General features: G+C 36.8%; 1 protein-coding gene across 25 annotated transcripts in view; it reads left to right on the top strand.

Annotated features, from left to right (window-relative positions):
* ANKRD17 (ankyrin repeat domain 17) overlaps nucleotides 1-20,065 on the top strand; it is a 185,423-nt gene that overhangs the window by 89,141 nt on the left and 76,217 nt on the right. For 23 of the 25 annotated variants that reach the window (XM_005265671.5, NM_198889.3, NM_015574.2 and 20 more), the window contains exons 3-7: nucleotides 8,310-8,466; nucleotides 13,492-13,639; nucleotides 13,880-14,027; nucleotides 15,545-15,778; nucleotides 18,134-18,228. In XM_005265671.5, the coding sequence (XP_005265728.1) occupies nucleotides 8,310-8,466; nucleotides 13,492-13,639; nucleotides 13,880-14,027; nucleotides 15,545-15,778; nucleotides 18,134-18,228 (782 nt within the window). Of the gene's footprint in view, nucleotides 1-6,251; nucleotides 6,357-8,309; nucleotides 8,467-13,491; nucleotides 13,640-13,879; nucleotides 14,028-15,544; nucleotides 15,779-18,133; nucleotides 18,229-20,065 lie in introns of those variants that run through there. The other 2 variants (XM_047450041.1, XM_047450040.1) reach the window with 2 other exon arrangements.

The following is a 20,065-nucleotide window of genomic DNA, read 5'->3' as shown; positions in this document are numbered from 1 at the left end:
TCAGCAATGCGAAGTCAAAACCAGGCACTGTGTGTGCTCACCTGATTTTGGGTTCTTATGAAGATGCTCACTTTGTGTAGATAGTTGCCAAACTTGGGGAGGGGTGGGGAGATCACTAGAGCCCCCTTTTCAGCCATCTTACTCCATCTATCTCAGTGGTGAAGCCAGCCAGACTTTTTTTTTTCCCTTCAGGGTGGCTAGTTCCCCTAGGCCCTGAGTTGGTCTAGAGATGCCATCTGGGAGCCAGGGACTGAGGTCAAAAACCTTAGAAATCTGTCTGATATTCTATTGTACTGTGTCTTAGCTGGCACTCAAACCATGATGTACAGTCCCTCCCACTCACTGTTTAAAATGGCGCCCAAGCATAGTGCTGTCTAGTGTTCCTAAGTGTGAGAATGCTGTGATGTGCCTTTTGGGAAAAACATGTTTTAGGTTCAGGCATGAGTTTTACTGCTGTTGGCTGTGAGTTCAATGTTAATGAATCAACAACATATATTAAATAAGTTATATTTTACATCATGGAATACCATGCAGCCATAAAAAAGAATAAAATCATGTCCTTTGCAGCAACATGGATGCAGCTGGAGCCCATTATCCTAAGTGAATTAACGCAGGAACAAAAAAACAAATGCCACGTTATTACTTATAAGTGGGAGCTGAACATTGAGTACACATGGACACTAAGAAGGGAACAATAGGCACCAGGGCCTACTTGAGAATGGGAGGAAGGTGAGGATTGAAAAGTTACTTATCAGATACTATGCTCATTACCTCGGTGATGAAATAATCTGTACCCTGAACCCCCACAACATGCAGTTTACCCACATAACCAACTTGCATGTATACCCGCTGTACCTAAAATAAAAGTTGGAAGGACACACACAAAAAACGTACATTTAAACAGAAACACACGTAAAACAGGGTTATGTGCATTAATGACAATGCTGTGGCCAGGGGCTGGCTAACGCTATATTTCTCCCAGGAGCAGTGGTTGAGTGTAGTATTTGCTAATTCCGTGTTTCTAGCGACTTAACATAACTACTGTGAATAACTGAATAATGAGAATTGACAATATATAATTTTCCCCACTTGTTTGTTAGAGACTGTAGGCTGAAACCTCATGTGAATCATCGTGGTATTTTTGTGAAGTGGATCATTATATTATCCCCATAGGAACAATGTTTTAATTGAGGAGTGTATATATATATACACACACACAATCAAATATTTAGCACTATATATCATATCTTAAATATAAGGCAGTGATAATGAAATCTCTATAATCATTTTAAAGACATGATGTTTTCTTAGGTTTTGTAAAGTAGACATAAATACACTATGAACACTAATTGTTCATGGTTTAAGAACCCCAGTGCACTACCTATTATACATGCAATGCATGTAAACTGCTACTTTATTATAGCATAAAACTGACCTAATACTGTTCAATAATGCTTTCAGTAAACATCTTGTAATACAGTAAATTTTTTTTTTTTAATTTTTTTTTGAGACGGAGTCTCACTCTCCCCCAGGCTGGAGTACAGTGGTGGGATCTTGGCTCACTGCAAGCTCCGCCTCCCGGGTTCATGGCATTCTCCTGCTTCAGCCTCCTGCTGTAGCTGGGACTACAGGCGTCTGCCACCATGCCTGGCTAATTTTTTGTATTTTTAGTACAGACGGGGTTTCGCTGCGTTAGCCAGGATGGTGTCGATCTCCTGACCTCGTGATCCACCCACCTCAGCCTCCCAAAGTGCTGGGATTACAGACTTGAGCCACTGTGCCCAACCGGTATTTAAATATTTGAAGGATTCATGGTTAAACTTGATTTCCATCCAAGGTAAAATTCTAGAATGGATTATTAAAAGGATCTTAACCAAATAGACTTGGAAACATAATCAGGGCATGTGCACGGTCCTGTCTTGGAGTAAAGAAAACTATTTGTACAGAAGAGTAGAGACCTAATTTAGCATTTTCCGGCAATTTGACATTGCTCTAGAAGTTTATGAGAGAGAAATGCAGATTATGAAATTATTTAAAAATATACCTCAGAGGAGCAGGGAATGTTTCTCCTGAAGACAAGAAGACTCAGGTTGAATAAAGTGTTCTTCAAATGCTTAAGAGACTGTCATATAGATTTGTTTTCTGTGGCCCCAAGAGGCACAAGAAGATTCAAAGATGTTACACGGAAGTAGATTTTACATAAAAGCTGATTTTTGGAGATAAGATACCTTTTCATACGATGCAAATAGTTGCTTCATTTTTCTAAGTTGTGTAATTATTTCTATTTTTTATATTTTCTTTATGGTAGCTAACAAGCTAGCCTTCCCCCTACTTCCCTTTCTTTCTTTCTCCACCTCTCTTTCACTTTTCCTCTCCCTCACTCCTTTATTTCCTTCCCTTTTTAAATGGAAATTCTCACATACAAATCTAAGAGAATAGCGTAATGAAACCTGTGTATGTTTATCCATCATCCAGCTTCAGCAGCCTTCAGTGTACAGGCAGTCTTTTTTCATATCTGCCTATTACCACCTTGCTGACATTGCCACCTATGTTAATTTAAAGCAAATCTAAGCACCATACCATTTCATATATATAAATATTTTAGTATGTATCTGTAAATTAAGAGTGTTTAAAAAGAAATATAGCCATAATACTATTTCAGATTTAAAGGAAAAAAAAGTAATTCCTTAATATTGCCAGTATCCTGTCAATGTTGAGATTTCTTCAATTATTTTCTGTCTTTTTACAGTTGGTTTAAATCAGGATCCAAACCAGGTTTACATAGTTTTAATGTTAATTATTTTTCTTAAATATATACACATACTATGTACCCATGAAATTAAAAATTAAAAAAAATTGTTTTAAGTTTAATCATAACAGTTCCTCTTTTTTTTTTTTCTATTTATTTGTTGAAGAAATAGTCATTTCTCTCACTTTATGGATTTTGCCAGTTGTGCTTCTGTGTGTTGTATTTCCTATTTTAGATCCAGATACTTGATCAGATTCAGATTTATTCTGATTTTGACAAGAATAGTCATTCATAATGCTGTGTGTTTCCTTATGTATCACATAGGCACTGTCTGGTTGCTTCTCTTTTTGTGATGTTGAGATTGAACAAGGTTTAGGTATCCAATATATTTCTTGAGAAAGGATGCTTGAGAGGTAAAATTTTTTAGACTGTCTGAAAATGCCTTTCTTACTATCCTCATACTTGATAGTTTAGCTAGGTATAGAGTTCCAGTTTAAAAAACCACTCTCAGACCTTTAAAGTTACTAAACTTCTGGTGTTGCCAAACTTATTTATGACTTACCCTGTCTCTGTACCACTTGTCCCTATTCTCCTTCCCCAAAGCTTTATAATTTTGGCATTATAAAATTTCAGTCTCATTTTCAATACTTTGGTTGGCTTTTCATATTTAAGATTTTCTTCAGATGTCTGGTGATCCTTGGGTTCTGTTTTTAGTCTATAGCAATGCCATAAAAAGCTAAATTGGAAAGTCTGGATGCATGTTTTGTTGGTTCATTTCACTGTACAGCATGGATTAGTTTTCTATTGCAGCATAACAATTTACTATAAATATAGTGGTGTGAAACAACGCCCACTTATTATCTCTTAAATTTCTGTGAGCCAGACATCTGGGGACAGTGTGGCTGGATTCTCTTGCTTATGGTCTCAAGGCTGATATCAGCTATCCTATGTTCCTTATCTGTAGGCTGTGGGTGAACATTTACTTCCAAATTTATTGTTATTGGTAGCAGAATTTAGTTCCTTGCAATTGTAGAACCAAGATCCTGATTTTTTTTATGGGCTGTCATCTCCATAAGGTTGCCCACATTCTTTGACATGTGGCACCCTCCATCTTTAAGTCAGCAGTGGCAAGTAGAATCCTTCTTGTGCTTTTAATCTCTGACTTCCTTATCTCCAACCAGCCAAAGAAATCTCTGCCTTTCACAAGCTCATTTGATTGGGTCAGGCCCACCAGGATAACCTCGCTGTCTTTAGGTCAACAATGCTATATAACGTAACTTAATTTTGGGAGTAAAATCTGTCAAATTCACAGTCCCAAGGTTGTAGGATGTGTACATCAGGGACGGGTAACCTTAGGATCATTTTATTAGACACACACCTGCCAGTGTTTGTCTTCTGAATAATTAACCCAGCTACCATAATTCTGACAGTGGGAGCTGACAGTGGGAATGGGGCTGAGGATTTCACTACTTATCATGTAAACTTTCACTTAATGCTTTTATGTAGTACTTCATGTCATCCTCCTGTATACCTGATGTCTCCTAGTCCAGGGCCTTTCTAGTTTGGTTTCTTTAGAGAATAATCACCTGGCTGTTTAGTTTGGCAATGAAAACTTGTGTCTGATTACTCCTCACAAGTGTTCAGCTGGTCTCCCTTTTTTCTAACCAAAGCCTCACCCCTGTATCTGGTACATCTCATACCTGACTCCTGTTGGGCTAATGGTCTGTTTCTCTTTTGATAGTGGTGTTTCAGTTTATTCTGTTCTATAAGTTAGTTAGTTCTCTGGTTTACTTTGTCTTTATACATTTTAGCTTATATATTCAGCTTATATACAGATTTTTCCTAGTTTTACCATAGATGGAATTTCTCTTGCATTTTAGCCCTCTGAGTAAGTTCTGAGAGGAACATAATTACGCATTCAATTATCTTAAAATCAGATAATATTTAATAAGTTTAATAGTGTTAGTAATATTAATAATTTTATTATAAAATAATAATATAAATAATATTTTAATGTGCCCTCTATCTGAATTTCTATGGTTTTGTTGTTCAATTGATTAAATGAGAGCATTTGGAAATAATAATCTGGTCATTTTGTTCTTTTTTTTTTTTTCCTTTGGAGAGAGTCTCATTTTGTCGCCCAGCCTGGAGTGCAGTGGCACAATCTTGGCTCACTGCAACCTTCACCTCCCGGGTTCAAGTGATTCTCCTGCCTCAGCCTCCCAAGTAGCTGGGACTATAGGCGCATGCCACCATGTCCAGCTAATTTTGTGTATTTTTAGTAGAGACGGGGTTTCACCATGTTGCCCAGGCTGATCTCCAACTCCTGAGCTCAGGAAATCCACCCGCCAAGTAGTAGGATTACAGGCGTAAGCCACCACACCCAGCTCTTTTCTGTTTTTCGATCTTCACTTTAATATTCAATAGCTGGATAAGACCAGAAAAAAAAGAATCACCATAATTCAGGGTAGCTAGAATAAATTAATTTTTGATTACTGCTAATTAATTTGAAAGGTTACCATCTATGTCTTTGGTTTCTTCCTAGTTACATTTATTAAAATAGTTATCTTTACTTATGAAGATACAAGAAGTTCATAAAGATTTAAAGTGAGATTTTTTTAAAACAGTGGTTAGTTTTTACTGAGCCAGATCTGTCCTCTTGCCTAGTTGCTGTTGCTATCACTGACAAATATTTGTTATATAGTGATCTCAGATGGCTGAAAAATTGGAGCTAATTTTTTTCATGTGGAAATTCTTCTGTGATGTTGATCTCAATAGTGCCTTCATATATTTAACCGAAAGATGATCTATTAAATATTGTAGTAGATTCAGAATATAGTATGACTTTTAATATTAGTGACATAAATTATACAGTAGGTATCAGTCTTATCAGACCAAGACAGTTTTTATTCTTTATACATCTTAACTGTAGCAGATATGAAATTTGACTACTCTGAACATTTTTTTATGGCTATAATCATAAAGGCTTCTTGGCAGATTTATTTTTGGTTTTGTGAGATATAACATTTGCTATGTTAGTTTTTTTATTAAAGAAAAGCATAAAAATATATCTAAAAGTACTAATCTAAAAATCATTCAGGACGGCAACAGAAAAAAAATATTTTAAAGGCAGAGATGGTTAATAACCACCTGTATGAAACCTAATTGTTGCTTTTGCAGATATCGCTATAAAGCATGCTTACCCCTAACCTTTTTATTCTAACTCGGTGCTTAATCTAGGCTGCCTATTTTATTATAAAGTGCACTGTAAAAGTATACACTTTCAAAACTTTAAACATGAAACTTATGTGATATTATTGAACACCTTTCACTGTTACATACTTATCTGTGCAGATATATTTATTACCAAGTGAGTGGTCCTTTTTGTTTCTTAGTTAACTAGTTTGTTGTAAAACCTATAATAGCCTTTCTTTAATGTGCATTGGAATCATATGGGGATCTTTTTTAAAATGCAGGTTTTGGATCAGTACATCGTAGGGCCTGAGATTCTGCATTTCTGACAAGCTCCCAAGCGATAGCAGTGCTTCTATTCAGTGGACCACATGTTGGATAGCAGGGTTCTGTAATATCCATCATAACATTAGAGGTAAAGGTTTTTAATCCTAGCTGTTTATCAGAATTGCCTTAGAGCCTTTAAAATATGTAGGTGCCAGGCCCTGCTTTCTACTTACTGAATTGGATCCCCAGATGTAGAAAACCTCAGCATCTATATATTTGAAAACCACTACAGGGGGCTGGATCACACGTGTAAACCTAGCCCTTTGGGAGGCCAAGGCATGTGGATCACTTAAACTAGGAGTTCAAGACCAGCTTGGGCAACATAGTGAGACCCTGTCTCTAACAAAAAAAAAAAAAAAAGCAATTAGCCAGGCATGGTGACATGCGCCTGTGGTCGCAGGTGCTTAAGAGGCCAAAGTGGGGGATCACTTGAGCCCGGGAGGTCGAGGCTGCAGTGAACCATGATCATGCCACTGTACTTCAGCTTGGGCAACCAGGTGAGATCCTATCTTAAAACAAAAACAAAAACAAAAACAAAACAAAAAAGCACCACAAGTGATGCTGATGGGCAGCTTGGATTAAGCACCACTGAATTAAAATAATAAAGGTTAGGGGTAAGAATGCTGCATGCTTTATAGGGATATCTGAAAGAGCAACAGTTAGGTTTCATATAGATGGTTACTAACCATCTCTGCTTTTGAATTTTTTTTTTAATTTTGCAGTTCTGAATGGTTTTCAGATTAGTACTTTCAGATGATTTTAAGTATATGTGATAAGTTGTAGACATAACTCATTTATAGCTTATCTTTTATATATAGTCTAGAATGCCTTTTTAGGCCATATTTTGTTCACAGATGATAGCCCAGTAAACATTCTTAAGCAAAAATAGACATTGGCCCGATGAAGTAGTTTACACCTGTAATTGGGAGCACTTTGGGAGGCTGAAGTGGGAGGATCACTTGAGACTAGGAGATCTAAACTACCCTACACAACATAAATGAGACTCTACCTCTACAAGAAAGTTTAAAAATTAGCTGGGTGTCCTGCTGCGGTGGCTCACACCTATAATCCCAGTACTTTGGCATGCTGAGGCCGGAGGATTCCTTATGCCCAGGAGTTCGAGACCAGCCTGGGCAATGTAGTGGGACCCTGATTCCTCCAAAAAGTAAAATAATTAGCCAAGCATGGTAGTGCACACCTGTAGTCCCAGCTACTTGGGAGCCTGAGGCAGGAAGATTTTGAACCCAGGACGCTGAGGCTGCAGTAAACTGTAATCGTGGCATGCACCCAGCCTGGGTAACAGAGCAAGACCCTGTCTAAAAAAAAAAAAAAAGAGAGAGAGAAAAATCAGCCTAGTGTGGTGGTGTGAGCCTATAATTCCAGCTACTGGGAGGCTGAGTTGGGCGGATCACTTGAGCCCAAGAGTTCATGACTGCAGTGAGCTATGATCATGCCACCGTACTCCAGCTTGGGTGACAGAATAAGACCCTGTCTCGAAAAGAAATATATATAAATTAAAAAAAATAAAATGTAGACATTTCCCAAATCATAGAGATGGTGCTAGCTTCTGGCACTACTGGCGTCAATGAGTTAAAAATAATTTTATCAGGACTCTGTCCCCTTCTCTTTCTGTGTCTCTGTTCTCCTCTATGTTGACTTTATTTTGGGCAGTCTTTTTCTGTATGTGGTGACAAAAGTGGCTAAATAGCTTATGACTCACATCTTACCAATTTAGCAACCTTTGAATATACGTTCTTTCAGAGATATGACAGAGTCTAATTGTCCCATCATAGGCCAAAGACCCGTTTCTGGCACCAGAGGGTCACAGGATCAAGTACCTATGAACCACATGGAATGAATAAGATTATTAGAAAACTGGAGAAGAGTGATTTCTCAAAAGATGCTGGGCAGCCAATATATATGTCTACTCTACCATTTGGAGGTTATTTGTTAACATACACAGTATAGCTTTAAGTAACTTGAATTTTGCTTTGTTTCTCCTTTTGGGTGTGTCCATATTGGTGTGAAAATAATATAATAGGAATAGGAAAATTGTCCACGGCTGATGGTAAAGCCTTTGCAGATCCTGAAGTACTTCGGAGGTTGACATCGTCTGTTAGTTGTGCGTTGGATGAAGCTGCTGCTGCACTTACCCGTATGAGAGCTGAAAGCACAGCAAATGCAGGGCAGTCGGACAAGTAAGTACATTTTTGCTGCCATCAGTATGAAATCATTTTCTTAAAAATAATAACAAATAGCTAACATTTACTGAGCATTTATTTTGTGCCTGGCTGGCACTGTGCTAACCACTTAACATGTGATGTCTTATTTAGATTCACAAAAACTTTATAAGGTATAGATTTTGTTTTTACTCCCATTTTACAGATGAAAAGTTAAAGAGAGATGAGTAACTTAATCAAGATCAAATAGATAATAAGTGGCAGAGCACCAGTGTCTTTCCGACTGCAAGGCTGATGGCCTAGTCAATATGTTATAAAAGACTTTTTGCTTATTTAGATTTTTTTTAAAAATGTATTGGTGACAAAGAAGTAAATGTTTTACAATTAGGCCATTTTACAGTTCATTTGCGTAGTTCTGACCATTTTAAAGAGTAAGGCTTTTTATTTATTTATTTGCTTTCTGAAGTCTTAAAAGAAGTTATAGATCTAGTTCCTATAACTTGAATGTGAGTCCAGGGACTTTATTTTTTTATATCCTATAATTCCTTGTATATAGATAGCACTTTACAGTTAGTAAGGACTCAGTAAATGTTTTGTGACATGGCATTTTAAGCTGTTCTGATGATGTTATCCAATAAAAATCACACCATCTCATATATAAACACAATTATGGATGTATATTGAAAAATGGAAGCCAGGCATGGTAGCTCACGCCTGTAATCTCAGCACTTTGGAGGCCGAGGCGGGCGGATCACCTGAGGTCAGGAGTTCAAGACCAGCCTGAGCAACATGGAGAAACCCTGTCTCTACTAAGAACACAAAAATTAGCCGGGTGTGGTGGCGCACGCCTGCAATCCCCGCTACTCGGGAGGCTGAGGCGGGAGAATCGCTTGAACCTGGGAGGCAGAGGTTGCAGTGAGCCGAGATTGCGCCATTGCACTTTAGCCTGGGCAACAAGAGCGAAACTCCATCTCAAAAAAAAAAAAAAAAAAAAAAAAAGTGATAAGAAAAATGGATAGATACTTCAAGGAAGCAACTAGAAAAGAATCATTAATACATGTTACCATTTTCAACCGTTGGTGGCTTCTTTTTGCCTCCTCTAATAAAATGAAGCCATTTTATTTATTTTAGCAATTGCCTTAAAACAATTGAGAACATCTGAATATTCTATTTGGGTTTAGAGAGTAAATTATAGCATTTAAGAATTCTTTGTTGTCTAATGGTGTTTTCATACAACATTTTTAAGAGCATAAAAGAGAGGTTAGATAGTATTAACAAGGTCATGAATTTGCTGTTTCTCTTGGCTCTTTATTAGTGTTCATTCATCTAGATTTTTGTGTTTGTATTAACTTGCTTTACCATTCTTCTCATAGGTTGACTGACTCCCTTCTTTAGTTAACCTCGGTTTCTATTCCATAGTAAATGTTCAGTTTTACTAGCCTACAATATCATTGGTAATCTCCAAATATTTTTTAATGTGGTGCCTACTAAGATTGGCAAGAGAAAGAATTAAAACACCTTGAAGGGTATACTAAAACCAGTTCAAGCAGGAAATAGAATAGAAAAATAAAGTCACAAATGATTTTGCATTGAAAATACTGGAATTTAACAGCAAAAAAAATAGAACATATTTGTGAGAATTATATTTATTCAACAAAGTTTGAGAAAGATGGTGGACTTAAGTGCAGTGAGTACTATGTGCCACATTTTTATATTAGTTAAGGACAGTGCCATGTGCCAGGCTTAATATGCCCTTCGCCCACAAGTTCTTAAGTTCAGCTGTTGCTAGAGTAGATCCTGTAAGGTTGTTTTCAAGCTGGTATACACACATGGAAATTGAATGAAAAATTCAAATGATAATGTAAATTAGGGTATATGCATAAAGAAGTGAAAGAGACAGAGAGAGACTACTTTGAAAGAGAGAAAAGGTATGCTCTTATACAGGAAATGTCTTATGGGAAGGATTTGTTCTAAACATGCTTAAAAATGATAGCATTGAGTCTAGGGACTGTCAGTGTCCTGTGAAATGGGAAATCAGAAGAGATGTTTAAAAGACAAATTTATTTAGTACTGGTCGAGACTTTCACTTTGGTAAGGGGACAATACAATTAACATGTAAATAAAATATATAGTATTGCACATAATAATATAACTATGGGAAAAATTGAAAGGGAAGTGCTAAGACAGTGTTTGGGTTGGAGGTCATCTTGGTTCATTTTCTGTTGCGTGTAACAGGATTCCTGAAACTGGGCAAGAAAAGGAATTTATTTCTTACAATTATGGAGGCTGAGAAGTCCATGGTCAAGGGGCTGCATCTGGTGAGAGCCTTCTTGCTGGCAGGGACTCTGTGCAGAGCCCTGAGGCAGCACAGGCCATCACATGGCAAGTAGGCTAAGTGTGCTAGTTCAGGTTTCTCTTCCTTTTATAAAGCCTACCCAGTCTCACTCCATGATAAGTAATAGTTCATTTACCCATTAATCCATTAATTCATGAATGGATTAACCGATTCATGAAGACAAAGCCCCCATGACTCAGTCACCTCTTAAAGGCCTTACCTATCAGTATTGCCACATTTGGGGTTAAATTTCACATGAGTTTTGGAGAGGACAAATATGCAAACCATAGCAGAGGTCATATTACATTTTTTAATAGCGTGGTCAGAGAAGTCCTCACTTAAAATGGTGGCTTTCTAGGAAAGACCTGAAATAGGGAAGGGAGTGAGCCATGTCTGAGAGAGGAGCTGTCTTGGCACAGGAACAGCAAATGCAAATATTTGGAGGTTGGAGCTTATTTAGCATATTTGATGAACAGCAAGAAGACCAATGTGGCCAAAGTGGAAGGAATAAGGGTGAGAGGGTAGGAGATAAAGCCAGAGAAGTAAAAGGGAAGAGGAATATGGTATCCTGCCACTAGGCAGATCTTGTAAGGATTTCAGCTTTTACTGTGAGTGAGATTATAGGCCAGTGGAGGGTTCTGAGTAGAGGAATGACATGTTCTACTTTTCTTTCTTTCTTTCTCTCTCTTTCTTTCTTTCTTTCTTTCTTTCTTTCTTTCTTTTTCTTCCTTTCTTTCTTTCTCCTTCTTTCTTTCTCTCCTTCTTTCCTTCCTTTCTTTCCTTCAAGATGGAGTCTCACTCTGTCACACAGACTGGAGTGCAGTGGTGTGATCCTGGCTCACTGCAACCTCCACCTCCTGGGTTCAAGTGATTCTCCTGCCTCAGCCTCCCAAGTAGCTGGGACTATAGGCCACGCTGCCATGCCCGGCTAATTTTTTTTTGTATTTTTAGTAGAGACAGGGTTTCACCGTGTTAGCCAGGATGGTCTCGATCTCCTGACCTCATGATCCGCCCGCCTCGGCCTCCCAAAGTGCTGGGATTACAGGCGTGAGCCACTGTGCCCGGCGGACGTGTTCTACTTTTCTTTTAAAAAGATCTCTCTGGTTGCCTTGTTGAAAAGAGCCTGAAGGAGAGCAAGTAGTGTGAAGGCAAGGAGACTGGTTAGGAGGCTTTGCCATATCTGAGACAAAGATGTTGGTCTTAAATCTGGCTGATGGTAATAACAGGGCTATAGAAAAGTGATTATCTGTAGGTGCCTTTAGTATCTGAAATGAAAGGGCCATATTTTAAGAGGATAATAAAATAATTGAGTTATATTTGAAATAAAAAGAATATTAATAGCCCTGGATTTAGTTTTAGGATTATTTTATACGAAAGTGAGAATCTTTAGAAATGTCTACAATTGGAATTGTTTTGGGAAGTTTATGGGGCATACACTTTTCTCTCAGTTTAATTTTTTGTTACTCCACTTTTTCCACTCTCATTTTGCTTGAGTTTAGCTTTTTCTTTGCCTGGATTTGAAACTTCCCCCCAAATTTGATTGTATAAGTAAATACTTTCAAAACCAAAACCAAAAAAGGCTCATCAGTTATTCATTTATTAATATTACATTCTCCCATCTTTTCCGTCTGATTTCCCTTTACTTGATGGAAGGACTCACATAGATCTTTATAATTAGTGGAAGTTTTGCACATTTTATACTTTTTAATTAAATTTTATAAAAAATTTTCTACTGACCGAACAAAAGAAGTATAATTATGACCTGTTATTTGTATGTGATTTCTATAAACTTTTATGTTTTAAAATTTTATGTTCTTTCTCCACTTACCAGTAAATTAGACTTTATCCTTCAGTTGCATAACTGAAAACATTTTGGAATATTGATAATTTTAATTCAGTGCCATTAATATGTAGATTGTAAAAAACTCAATGAATTCAATCATTTTTGCCTTTTTGTTATGAATCATATTGAAATAATCATCCTTGTTGAGCACTAATGTTAGCATTAGTCTGTTCTCACTCTGCTATAAAGAACTACCTGAGACTGGATAATTTATGAAGAAAAGAGGTTTAATTGACTCACAGTTCCACAGGCTGTACAGGAAGCATAGCGAGGAGGTCTCAGAAAACTTACAATCATGGTGGAAGGCAAAGGGGAAGCAAGCATGTCTTACCATGGCACAGCAGGAGAGAGAGAGGGGAAGCAAGCATGTCTTACCATGGCGCAGTAGGAGAGAGAGAGAGAGCAAAGTGGGTAGTGCTACACACTTTTAAACAAACAGATATCATGAGAACTCACTCATTATCATGAGAACAGCAAGGGAGAAATCCACCCCCATGATCTAATCATCTCCCACCAGGTCCCTTCCCCAACACCGGTGATTACAATTTAACATGAGATTTGGGTGGGGACACAGAGCCAAACCATATTAACTGTCAAGATTTGACATAAAAATCCAATACTCTGGCTGGGTGTGGTTGTTCACATCTGTAATCCTAGTGCTTTGAGAGTCTGAAGCAGGAGGATTGCTTGAGGCCAGGAGTTTAAGGCTGCAGTGAGCTGATTGCATCACTGTACCCCCTCCTGGGTGACAGAGCAAGACTCCGTTTCTAAACAACAAAAAACAAAACAATCAAAAACAATATTTATGCTGTGCAATTTTTTAATATTCTTATATTCTGGTATTGTGATATTCTTTCCGTAATAGCCGCAGTTTGGCAGAAGCCTGTTCAGAAGGAGATGTAAATGCTGTGCGAAAGTTACTCATTGAAGGGCGAAGTGTAAATGAACACACAGAGGAAGGGGAGAGCCTCCTTTGTTTAGCTTGTTCTGCTGGATACTATGAGCTTGCACAGGTTCGTATTATCAAAATAAAGCTTATTTGTTGTTTTTTTAAAAACTGGCTTGCTTACTAAGGAAATAATAAAATAAATCCTTCCAACCATTAGGATTATTTCAACAAATAGTTTTGTTAGATAAATTTTGTGTGCTTATAGCTCTTTTACTATGACTAGGTAGACGTTATATAAATACGTGTTCAAAATTTTTTGACGATTATTTCCTAATATCTTTTTAAACTATTTTTCTCTCATAAGGTTTTGTTGGCAATGCATGCAAATGTGGAAGATAGGGGAATCAAAGGTGACATTACACCTTTAATGGCTGCTGCTAATGGAGGACATGTCAAAATTGTGAAGTTGCTGCTAGCTCATAAAGCAGATGTTAATGCACAGTCTTCAACAGGTCATGCCTATTTCTTTTTCAGTTTTACTACATAGTAACATCATTTGGTAATAATGATTTTGCATGAAAGTGATGTTTAGTGCTAATTTTTCAGTTCTCTTATTAGAAGTGCTACATATTCTCACACATCTGTGTATGAGTTTTGAAGTATATAGAATATATTTCAAATGATATTCTTCCTGTTTTGTTTATGAGGGCAATTGGCCTTTTAAGATTCTTTAAGATAAAAGTAAAACACTGACCCAGTTAGATGGACCACTCTCTTGGAAATTGAGAGGTGTGGGCCGTAGTGCTCAAATCCATGTTTCCAGTTTTTTAGGAGAGGAATGGGAAGATAGGGAGACCAAACAATTGTGGAACAAAAGGATAGTTCATTGTTTCCTACTGTTACTAAATTGTGGCCCACAGAAAAAAATATTGTGAAAACATTGTGTCCTGAAGAAGAGCATAACTTTAGTCTAAAATATATATTTTTTTCAAATTTGGGCCTAGATAGATTTGTGTAAAAATTCTAAAATTTCATGGAAATATTTTGTGCATTTCCTTCATTCAGATTTTTCAAATTTATTAAATTTTTTTTTTTTTTTTTTGAGACGGAGTCTCGCTCTGTCACCCAGGCTGGAGTGCAGTGGCGGGATCTCGGCTCACTGCAAGCTCCGCCTCCCGGGTTCACGCCATTCTCCTGCCTCAGCCTCCCAAGTAGCTGGGACTACAGGCGCCTGCCACTATGCCCGGCTAATTTTTTGTATTTTTAGTAGAGACGGGGTTTCACCGTTTTAGCCGGGATGGTCTCGATCTCCTGACCTCGTGATCCGCCCGCCTCGGCCTCCCAAAGTGCTGGGATTACAGGCGTGAGCCACCGCGCCCGGCCCGTTATTAAATGTTTTTTAAGGTCATGTTCTGATTTGAAGGGATTTTTAGAAATTCTTATTTTACCCAGAAGGTTGATTTTTCTTGTAACATGGGAAATTTTTATCAGCAGAAAAGAATGTTTTAGAAATTATTGAATTCAAATTCAAATTTAGAAATTTGAATTTGATCAGTTAACTGGTATTTGAAGTTGTAATGAAAACATATATGATTAAAAGGTATAGTATAAAGTATGTATATGATGAGTAATTTTAGGTTAGAAACATTAAAATTAAAAAAAAGCTTGTGAAGCATTTCTCTGATAAACATTAAAACAACTTTTTTCTCATCTTAAGGTAAAACTTAGCTCTGGGGCAGAGTTGCCCAGTTCTTTTACAACTCCCCAGTCTGGATAAGTGTATATGATTTTCCACATGTATTTGACTTTGGTTTTAAATGGAAAAGGAGAATAGGGAGTTGATTTCAGAAAGATAAAATGCAGTAGGAAAGGAATTTTATATATAGATATATATTTACATATATGTATATGTAATTTAATATTTATTATGGTTGTAGTCTTCTGTTTCCATTTTCTTAATGTAAATTAGCACTTTAATTTATTTTGGTATTTTATGTTAATGTCTTTTTATTTTTCCTAATTAAAATAGGCAATACAGCACTTACATATGCTTGTGCTGGAGGCTATGTAGATGTTGTAAAGGTGCTCTTGGAATCCGGTGCTAGTATTGAGGACCATAATGAAAATGGTCATACCCCTCTTATGGAAGCTGGAAGTGCTGGACATGTGGAAGTAGCCAGATTGCTGCTAGAAAATGGGGCTGGCATTAATACGCATTCTAATGAATTTAAAGAGAGTGCCCTTACCTTAGCTTGTTACAAAGGTACAGTATAAACCTTTCTTAAAACAAAGTTTTTAAATATGTGAAATTATAATTATTTTATGTAATCTTGTTTCTAAGTTAAAAAATAAAACAATGATAGTATATAGTATGTAATTAAAGGTTAAATAAGTGTTTGCAGTGTTGCAGTTTGTTTACTATTTAAATTTTTAAAATATAGATTTAACTATAAATATTGTCACTGAAAAATGAGTATTAATTGATCTAATTGTTTTATCAGAAACAGTTCTTTTAATATGAACTGTATAATAGCTTTGCATGTTGGGAAGATTTTGCTTGGTATGAAGGGGTACATGGTATTTTAAATGATGTCAATGAACCTGAAAATATTGATAGTACAGAAAATGCCCTCCTTTGGCAGACCGGACAATTGCCTAGAAAGATATTTTGTCTGTAGATAATTAATGTTCTATATTCTAGATTGTTAAAACACAGCCACAGAGCTGAACATTTTTTAGACTCCACATGTATGACAGATAAATGGCTGTAAAGTAAGGTGTTTTACTTTTTAAGAAAGTAAATTAAGAAAATTTTTTATTAAGGAAGTTTTTTATTAAAAAAAGTCATACAATTTTGTGTTTAGCCACTCATTTCTGTGTTTTATGTCATCTGTCTATATAGTTGTCCCATATTATTTACGTCATAAATTCTTGACCCCTAGGCATCAAGAAAAAGCTTTTGCAAAACCTAGTAAAAAATTTAAGGAGGCACTCATTCTCAGTGACTAACCTTTCACTTGCACAAGCTTACATGTGAGTGGCTCCTTAAATTTTGCACCCAGCACTTTGATTTCCTCACCCTAGTTCTGGCCCTGGTGTTGTTTTGTTCTATATAAGAGTAGCCAAGGTTGTATGATGCCTTTTGGAATAATTTCATTTATAAACATGAAAATAATCCTTATATATTTGGATTAATTGACTAAAATTTAACTTAAATTTGAAAAATATGGTTTATTTATAAAGTGCTTTTGATTATCTGATGTTAATAGATTTTCAGATAGGGAGCACAGCTGAGGTCCCTTAGTTCCCTTCCCCAATCCTGTTTATAATTAGGCAGAGGCTGATCTTCACTGGGAGGAGAGGAGGTAAGCCTTGGAGTGGGTTGATTGGGTGGCTCTCTCCCCTTCTCACAAATACTTTTGAACCCAGTACTGGCTGCATTTCACTACTGAGTCCCTGCTGGCTAGAGAGCTTTGAGATGGGGCTGCTTGTAACTACTCTGCCCTCTCGCCTTTGCTTGTAGCCCCACCCTGCTATCCAAAAGGGGGATCTGAGGTTGGGGCTTGCAGGCTTTAATTAGAAGCTGGATAGCAAACTGAGCTGGTGGAGAACATCTCTGCTACTTCCAGGTATCCATGGACCCCCTTCCCTTCCTCTCCTTCTGGTGAGGTTTTGTAGGATATAGACTGACAAGGAGGAGTTAGGGAAGAGAGACAAGTCAGGCTGAGACTGAGCACTAATGTGGATTTTGGGGAGGGGAGAATGACAGAGAGGAAAAGGGATGGTAGGTAGTTGACAAATATAAGACGCGGCAGATACTACACTTACTTATGGAAGTAAATTTTGTTTAATTGTTTACCTGTGACTCCACTATCTGTCCTTCTCCCGCCTCCCAGTTGAATAAGAATTGATTGTAGCTCATTCCAAATAAAGCTGGAAAAAATTAAATAATTTTTCTATTGTTTTTTGCATAGGATCTGAAGTCTTTTTTAAATTATAATTTGTCGTCTGCTTTTTAACCACTTGTATCTTTAAATGAACTGAAGCATATGGTTTATTTGAAACTGCATTAATGTGTGTACATGTTTATATTATAATTAAATATATAAATATAAATTAAATGGTGTGGTTTGAAGAATATTTTTATACATACAGTTCCCAGTTTATAAGCAGGTTTTTCCTAAAGTGTTTCTGAGTTAGGTATTGGAACTTTAAATACATTTTCTCACAGAAATAACTTGACTGATCATTATCTCAGGCTACTAGTTCATGAAAACTGATTTATTCCGTAGCATATATAACATAACTATATAACATGCCTGGGCTCTTAAAAGGTTGTAGAGGGAACATTTTGGGTGTTGGATTTTAATGGCATCTTTGTTCACCTCTAGCAGGGACTCTAGAAGCAGCAGTTTATAGGGCAGTAGGGTAAGGGGTAGAACAGCAAGATCACTTGTATAATTTGTGTTCTACAATTGAGGGTGGCTTCTAGTTGACTTTATTATGCTTATAAATTTAATGCTGTAAGTTAAATATAACTTTTCAAAATATTATAATTTTAAAAAATATTTTGGAATAATAAAATATTTTCAAGTAATCTTGTACACTTTTGGTTTAGGACACTTAGAGATGGTGCGATTTCTTTTGGAAGCAGGCGCGGATCAAGAGCATAAAACAGATGAAATGCACACTGCTCTGATGGAGGCTTGCATGGTAAGATTGGTGAAATATGTCAAATATGTTTATATATTAACCAGGGAGAGACAGAGTAGTATACAATGAATGCCTTTCCAATGGGTGCTATGATTCTGTTTGTCAGAACCTTATTGAATCAGTTGTACAACATTAACTTCTATTAAAGTTACTTTCTGAAGCTTTACAATGCTACCTGCATTTTCTTAGTCTCATATAACTATACCAAAGTCACTCTTGTAAAGATTGGTTGAGGATATGAAATAGGAAAATATGGCCAGGCATGGTGGCTTATGACTGTAATCTCGGCATTTTGGGAGACCAAGGTGGGAGGATTGGATTAACAAATTAAAATGGATGCCAGCAGTTCAAGACCAGCCTGGCCAACATACCAAGACCCCCTCTCTATTTAAAAAAATGTTAAAAAAAGAAAAAAGGAAATATAATTCAGAGTATGTACATTATTAATAAGCATAACATACCTCAAACCAATAAATTGACTAAACAAAAATTTAAAAGTAGGGCCTAATTTATGTTACATAATTTCCCCTCTCTCGAGGTCTTTTCTGAGCCCTAGATTGTCTTTTGAAGAGCTGCATTTTAGAGTTTGTATTCGGGAATGGCTCATAACAGTACTCTTAAACCTTTGTATCTTTGTTTATTTATGACACAGAAATGGGCCAAAATATCATAGAAAAATTTATGAGGAGAACAGGCCAGCGGTAGAAAGGGCCCCCAAAGAATCTGAAGTTTCTTGTCTCATCTTCCCTTCAGAGAGTAATTATTGAAAGGATGTTAAATTTTATTTACTATTTTTTAAAATATGAGGTAGCCATTTAAGACTTGAGTTATCTGTTGTTTTCCTTATTGCCATCTTAGTGTTTGCTTTAGCAAATTATTTTTTTTTAACAAATAAAAGTTTTTCTAAGCTTTTGAGTTCTTCATCTGTAAAATGAGGAAAATATCTTTCTCTGGAGTTGTGAGGATTAAATGAGATAATGGGCATAAAACACATTAATAGTATTAACAGTAACAGTTTTAAAAGTTCCCCATGATAAGGAAATTTAAACATTCTTGCCACCCCCTACTGAGGAAATGGCCTGTGTGTAGATTAAGAAATTAAAATGGAATAATCTGTAGGTCTAGCCAACATGCACTGGAAGTAAATATTATAAGTGAAAGATATTAGTAGGGGCCAGACATTTGAAAGACTTGCTATAATACTGAGTTTTTAAACTAGGATTTAAAGGAAATGTGGGAGTTCGCTATCGAGGAAGAAGATTCAGCACTGAAGAAATAGCAAAGTAATCAAACTAATAAGACATTAGAGTCTTCTCTACAAATTGAAATAGAAAAAAAAGTAGTAAGCCATTAAAATTGTGTAATGTGACAAGCATAGAGGCAAAAATAGGCATGGCATGTTTGAAAGAATATGTCTGGGAGATAACATATAGATGGAAAAAAATTACTGAAGGACAAAAAGAAGGGAAAAGAGGGCCTTGAAGTTGCCAGTAATTAGGAAAGCAGTGGGAAAAAGTGACCAGAAGACAGAATATAGAATTTTCTTTTCTTTTTTAATTCATTTTTGAGACAGGGTCTCACTCTGTTCCCAGGCTGGAGTGCAGTCGCATGATCATAGCTCACTATAGCCTCAACTTCCTGAGCTCAAATGATCCTCCCTCCTCAGCCTCTTGAGTAGCTGGGACGAAGTGCACACCACCACGCCTGGCTAATTTTTGTATTTTTTGTAGAAATGGGATCTCACCATTTTGCCCAGGCCTGGCTCAAACTCCTGGGCTCAAGCAATCCTCTCTCCTCAGCCACCCAAAGTCCTGAGATTACAGGCGTGAGCCACCAC

Source organism: Homo sapiens, chromosome 4 (assembly GCF_000001405.40).
Source record: "Homo sapiens chromosome 4, GRCh38.p14 Primary Assembly".
NCBI classification, from domain to species: Eukaryota; Metazoa; Chordata; class Mammalia; order Primates; family Hominidae; genus Homo; species Homo sapiens.
This window is presented reverse-complemented; position numbering and strand designations above follow the sequence as displayed.